The sequence below is a fragment of the Homo sapiens genome, chromosome 4, assembly GCF_000001405.40.
Source record: "Homo sapiens chromosome 4, GRCh38.p14 Primary Assembly".
Taxonomy (NCBI): domain Eukaryota; kingdom Metazoa; phylum Chordata; class Mammalia; order Primates; family Hominidae; genus Homo; species Homo sapiens.
The window spans coordinates 11,464,324-11,471,317 of record NC_000004.12 but is presented as its reverse complement, the minus strand read 5'-3'; the positions used below and the strand labels follow the sequence as shown (position 1 = coordinate 11,471,317).

Here is a 6,994-nt window from a genome sequence, read left to right as displayed (position 1 = left end):
CTACTAGAGACACATGTCCTGTCCTCCCAGAACTTACACTGAAGTGGATGTGACTGATGCTACAGTACATAACTGCTGAGGTAGCACATAATAGTGAAATTTTATCCAGACTACGAGGCTAAGGTTGGCTTCCCAGAGGGGATGTGAGTGTTGCCTTACTTGATTTTCAGAGACAGAATAGCCTGTGAAATTTCATTCATCCCTGAGTTCTAAAGACTTGGCATACAGGAAATTCACTAGCTGTTGAATCTGGAAAAATGATATACATGTTTTCTCTACTGTGCAGAGTCTATACTATTCTTGAATGAATGAATGAGTGAATGAGTTCCCTTCTGTGATTCCTAAGGAACCCAGGGCAATGAGGTCTTCCAGGATGTCAGCCTCTCTGTCATCCTTCCAGGTCACAAGAAAGAGCCAGCAGGTTTCAGCAAGCCGTTCCCTGGCTGATCTGGTGGTGAGAAGAATTTGGGGGTGGCGGCATGGTGACTAGCCACAGCCAGGGCAATTCCTGCACTCCCTGGCTTCCGTGTCTAGCTTTCAGGTTAGAGGAAATGCTTTATCAAGAAAAGCTACTTTGTTCTCTCTTGTTCTCTTTTATTTTTTTCCGAGTTACTCATCACTTTTTCAGTCCCTTATTCTCAGAGGAGAAAACAAAGCCACCTTCTTGAAGCTGTACCTTAGGTATTATTCTTGCCAATGCCTTGCAAAGCCAGCAGCCCAAGTGCTTTGCAGGTCAGATACAAGGGCCCTTTACCTTCAAAGATTAAAATCAGCATAGCAACAAAACATGAGGCTCTTGGTTTTACTCAGTGCTTTTCTTACATGGTCTCATTGCATTCACAGAGCAGTGTTACAGAAGGTTAGAGACCCTTGGAGATAAAACATGTAGGGATTTCCACTCTTTTTGGTGATGCCCCAAGAACCTGGGAAGGAGTGTCAGAGTCTGCCCTCTGGGGATGGGGGCTCCCTCCAGGGGCGGGAAGCCCATCTGGCTCATCTCTCTGCCCTTGGCTCAGCTGACCATGCAACTGCAGCTGCTTGCTTGGGCTTGTTTCATGCATGACAGTTTCAGTTACCTTTCACTTGAGAAATAGATCTCCCTGCTAAAAGAAAAAAAAAAAAAGAAAGAAAGAAAATGTTTGAAGACTACTGATCAGTTTCAATACCTTCATACTGTCCATAAAAACACACAGGCCCGTGTTGCACTGGCCGTCCCTTCGCATCTCACTCTCAGCGCCTCAGTGAGCTTTCTCAGCTGTGCTACGACAATGAGCATTTGCAGACCTCTTTTCCATCTTTCAAATTGTTGGCATCTCTCAACTATTCACATTGGTGGATTAATATGTTAAATACCTTTCATTGTTATTCTAGTGGAGTTTAAGGAGGAAGCAGCAATAGAATATGTATATGTATATACATATACATATACATATACATATACATACATATACACGCACACAGAAAGAGACAGAGAGGAGGGTTTTACCTTAGTCAGGGACTCCTCTCATTGCCTGAAATATTCTTCAGAGACTTGGAGCTCCAAGGTCTTGAGGAAGGCACCACAGTGAGTGGTGGAGTCGAAAACTGGAGGATTTGGTTGAATATTTCTATCAGTAGCACCTGGACTCTTTCCTTTCCCCTGCCAACCAAACATCCAAGCACCTGTCCTTTCTACTATGTCAAGAAAAGGGATTTTGTTTTGTGGAGACTTGAAACAGGAATTCTCTACCCTACTTAGAAAGAATAAGATTAAGTAAAGCTTCAATATCCCAAGGGAAATAAAGAAGCTATTGAAAATAAAAAAATAGAACAAAATACCATTAAAAGCATAATTAGAGAAGAGCATTAACACTTCTCTCCTTAAGGAAACATTGTTAACTGTTTTATAATTTGTATACCTTTTTTCCCAACAAAAAGTGTGCAATTGTTGTTAATAATAAAAGACTTTTGGTCATGATAATTAAAAAACAAAAAAGTAAAACAAACAAAAAAACCACAGGCCCAGAAAGGGACAATCACTTGCCTAAAATCACAGATCCACTTAGTACTTAAAGGCAAAGAAGGAACTAAGTGTTAGTCTTGGGTATCACATCAGTTTCTACTCCAGGACATGCAATTGCGGTACCTGGCTCAGGTGACCACAGTGAATGTAAATACCCAATGATTGGCCCAAGAGGAAAGGAAAACAATTTAAAAAATTCCTGACAGCTGCATTTCTGGAATGTCCCCACTCCTTCCTCATGCACCTGTTGCTGCCTGAACTTCTGACACTGAGTGGTTACCGGAGGCCTGGCGTCTCCTTAGAGCACTGCCACTGGCGCTGATGAACCAACTGAGGCAGACACTTTTACCTCCCTGAGCCTCACTTTTCTCCACCAGAAACTGGTTTAGGGGACAATAGCTTAGTACTGTCTCTTCTGGCTTCTATGTTCTTCTGGTTAAGAAAAAACTAACAACATTTCCCCCTGTCCTGACTTCCCAAAAGATTGAACATGAAGCTTCACTGAAATCCTGGATGGAAACATATTATTTCCAATGTAAAATGATAAAGCCTGGTCATGTGCAAGTTGCTCCCAGCTGCTGTGCCAGGGAGAGAGGGGAGGCATGCAATCAGCTTCCAGATAAAGGAGACAAGCTGTAGTGCTCAGGGCCCAACTGAGGAACATGTAAAGAGGGATTATATATATAATAAGTATCTACCTCTCTCTATATAAAGATATATATACATATATACATATATATATATATACGTATATATATATATATACATATATATATACGTATATATATATATATATATATATACGTATATATATATATACATATATATATATACGTATATATATATATATATATAGAGAGAGAGAGAGAGAGAGAGAGAGAGAGAGAGAGAAAGCATTGTTCTCTCTATAGAAAAGAAAGATTTTTCTGTAGAAGATAGATAGTTATCCCCTGAGAACCAGGAAAGCTGATGATACAATTCACAGAAGTCAAAAAAGTCCCCAGGCTGCATGAAGTTCCTTTGAAAAGGCAGGGTTGGCTTTCCCTGGTCTATGTAAGCCCCTTCCTGTAGGTAATGGCAGGTCCGGAGACACACCCCTGGAGGCTCTCTGAGTGCCACCTGGCAGTGCTGGCACAAGTGGGGGAAGCCAGGGAGTTGGTGAGGTGGGGTGCGGGGATGGCAGCTGGCTCAGCAGCTCCAAGAGTGCTATAGGGTCTCAGTTCTGAAATTATTCACAAGTACTCAGCAGACTCAGTGCACTTTAAAAGTCACTTTTTTTTTTCTCTCACAGAGAAAAAGGATGTTGTCTTATGGCTTCCTCACCTGTGACTTCTTGGAATTTTTTTTTTTTTTTTTGGAGATGGAGTCTTGCTCTGTTGCCCAGGCTGGATCCCGGCTCACTGAAACCTCTGCCTCCTGGGTTTAAGCAATTATCCTGCCTCAGCCTCCCAAGTACCTGGGATTGCAGGCATACACTACCACACCCAGCTAATTTTTGTATTTTTTTAGTAGAGACGGGGTTTCACCATGTTGGCCAGGCTGGCCTCGAACTCTTGACCTCAAGTGATCTGCCCACCTCGGCCTCCCAGAATGTTGGGATTAATGGTGTGAGCCGGCGCGCCCAGCTGGAATGGTCTTCATACTGTCTGTCCCTTCCTTCCTTCTTCCCTTTCACCCCTCAGTCTCTCTCTCTCCAAAACAATACTTTTTTCCTGCTTAATCCTTACAGAGAACACAAAGTACATTTATGTAAAAAATAATGACAACAGTAAAATTCCTGAAAACCATAAAAGCAGTTAAAAACAAAAGTTTGAAGTATCGATGCTCCATGAAATTACACTAATGTGATAGACTCTAGTGCTGGACATAACCTTGTTCTTTCATGAGAATAAAATGCTATTGTATAAGGGGTTCATCAGTGTTTTTTAATGATGTCTATGGATCGTTTCCTTTCTGTGAAGGTAAAATATTTATTTTCATAGTCATAAAGGAAATTAAAGAATGTCTATACAAGTTTACAAACTCAAGGCATTTACTAACATTTCCACTTCCTTTTTGACTCAGGATATATATATATATATGTGTGTGTGTGTGTATATATATGTATATATGTGTATATATGTGTATATATGTGTGTATATATGCATATATATGTGTATACATATATATACACATATATGTGTAAATATATGTGTGTGTATATGTGTGTATATATATATGTATATATACTCGGATACTTCAAATGTTAAGGTTTTCTATTATGTTATCATATCTTTCAAATAACAAAATGTGTATATAAATATATGTATATATATATATATATAAAATTTTTGTTGTTGTTTGTCTTGTTGCAGGGTGATAATATTGACCAATTAACCACGTGTAGCAACCTATCATATTTTCCACATGTATCGTAGGTTAGAGTTGACCAGTCACATTTTTCCATTGCACTTGCTATGAAGTGTGACTGCTCTCTCATGCCTGCTGAATCTGTGACTTTAAGCATGTTACTTTACTTCTCTGAACCTGACTTTCTTCATATGTAAAAAAGAGATAATAGGACTTCACAAGGATGTGGGGTGGACTAAACAAGAAAACATGCAGGCTGGAGTGATGCCTTACATACAACAGGCTCTCAATATATGGTGATTCCCTTTCATCTCACCAGATATACTGGCTTGATGAGCTTTGTAGTACGGGTGGCAAATATTGTGATTCCTCTCTGTGGTGGAGGGGACTGAGCTCACGGATACAAATAAACTGACCAAGATCACACAAATGGTGTCAGTTTAAACCACTGGTTCTCCATTGGGATTAATTGTGCATCCACGAGATGTTTGGCAATGTTTGGAGATTTGGGGTTGTCACAACTGGGGAAGGGGACCATTTATACTATTGGCACCTAGTGGATAGAGGCCAGGAATACTGCTAACCATCTTTCAGTGCACAGAAGAACACCCTATAGCAAGGAATTATCCAGAGTAAAATGTTAATAGTGCTCTTTCCAATTCACCTCACATTTTCCAAAATAAACCAAAGCACTTTGTAAAATGAAAACATTATTTTTGTTATTTGAAAGACATGGTAACATAATAGAAAACCTTAAAATTTGAAGTATCTGAGTCTATTCTTAGCTCTCCTACTTACTAACATTTAATCTGAAAACTTCAGGCAACATTATCTCACCAGAGCCCGAGTTTGTCTACTTGCACAATGTAACAGGGCATTTCTACGATAAGAAATAATTTAAATAAATGGTTGAGTATGGTGCCAACATGTAGTAGGGGCCCAGTCCATGATGGGACAATATAATAATGATAGTAGATATGGGAGGAGAATAATTGAATAACTTTCAGTTTTTAGCAAATATTGATTGAATTCCCATTAGGTACTAGGCACTGAAGATATATCTTAGTCAGTTTGGCTGCTATAATAACAATACCATTAACTGGGTAGCTTAAACAACAGAAATTTATTTCTCACCCTTCTGTAGTCTAGAAGATCAATATCAGAAGGCTGCATGGTAGAGTTTGGTGAGAGCCCTCTGGTTTACAGATGGCAGTCTCCTCATTGCATCCGAGAGAGAGAGAGAGAGAGAGAGAGAGAGAGAGAGGCTCTTTCCTGTCTATTCTTATAACGTCACTAATCTCATCATGAGAGCTCCACCCTTGTGATCTAATTACCTTCCGAAGGCCCCACTTACAAATACTTTTCCATTGATGTTCAGGGATTCAGCATTTAATTTGAGGGGTACACAAACATGCAGTCGATAATAAGATGCAGAAATTAACCAAACAGAAAGGGCCCTGACATCATGGAACTTACGTGGTGGATGATGGGAAATAGACAAGCAGAAAAATTAAGAAGGGAAATCCCTTAATATAATGCAGGTGGTGGTCCTGGAGGTCTTCTGGGAAGAGGCAACTGGAATAATGATCTCAAGGCTAAGAAAGCACAGGAGTGAAGAGGAAAAGAAAGGGTATCCTTGAGAGAAGGAAGAACAAATGCACAGACACTCAGGCAAGAGGTGTTTGAAGAAAGCAAGCAAGGGGTGCATATAGACCCATGCATTGTCAATCTGAGTCTGCACGGTTTCAACCGATGATCAGTCTGATGTGCTCACTGGGCTTAAGACCTTTCCAGGGTCAACATGAGAATGCCCATGTCTGGAGTACAAGGTTGTAGCTTTTCTGCAGAGACACCACGGTTCCCCACACTGCAGGCTCTTTTACGTCATGACTGTCAGACTCTGCTGGACCACCAGCCCGACAGAAATGTTCCATCCTTCCCTCATTTCAATGGGGGACTTCTGGATCCCTGTAACACTCTCCCAGGTCTGTGGAGCTGCTCATACTGCCTCAAGCCCACTGTCCAGCCCCCTCCCTCCACAGATAGTTCTACCTCACCTCTGCCCATGCTGAAGGTGTCCTTGTGGAGTGCTTCTCCTGGGGACTGGTGGCCTGGAGAAGGATGTCATCCATTTCCCCACGTTCTGAGTTCCCCAAACCTTCCTGAATCTTTTTAAAACTTCCTTGTTTCCCAGTCCAAATCCCAAGCTGAGGAGAAACGAGGACCCCATTATCTCAATTCCCATATCTTTTTCTGTCACTGAGCTCTTTTCTAAATGTTGTTGAGGCCAGAAGAAGCACATTTCAGCCTTCACTGTGTCATAGCTTGAATTCTCTCCACCTCAGTCATACGGAAAGTCAGCTCTGCTGGGCTTCTGATCCCTGCTGAATCTACAGAAACTCAAGAAGTTATTTATCCTTTTATCAAGGCCTGGCTTTAATACTCACCTCACTACACAGGGTCTGTAATAGAACTCAAAGTTCATCAGTGATTTTTGTTCCAGGCAGGACTCTGAGGTGATAAACTCTACGGTTTTGGAGTTCTCTTCAAGATGGTACCAGGTTACCTGAGAAATAGGAATATTAGAGAAAGCATCTGAAAAACATTTAAGTCTATAAAGCTGCATTATCCCCAAAAGATCAC

General features: G+C 40.9%; 1 annotated feature.

Annotated features, from left to right (window-relative positions):
* Window positions 947-1,136: an enhancer, noted in NCBI's record as "active region_21322". NCBI's record gives its function as "activates an Ori minimal core promoter by ATAC-STARR-seq in GM12878 lymphoblastoid cells {active_cell/tissue: GM12878}" and the evidence as "EXISTENCE:reporter gene assay evidence [ECO:0000049][PMID:35858748]".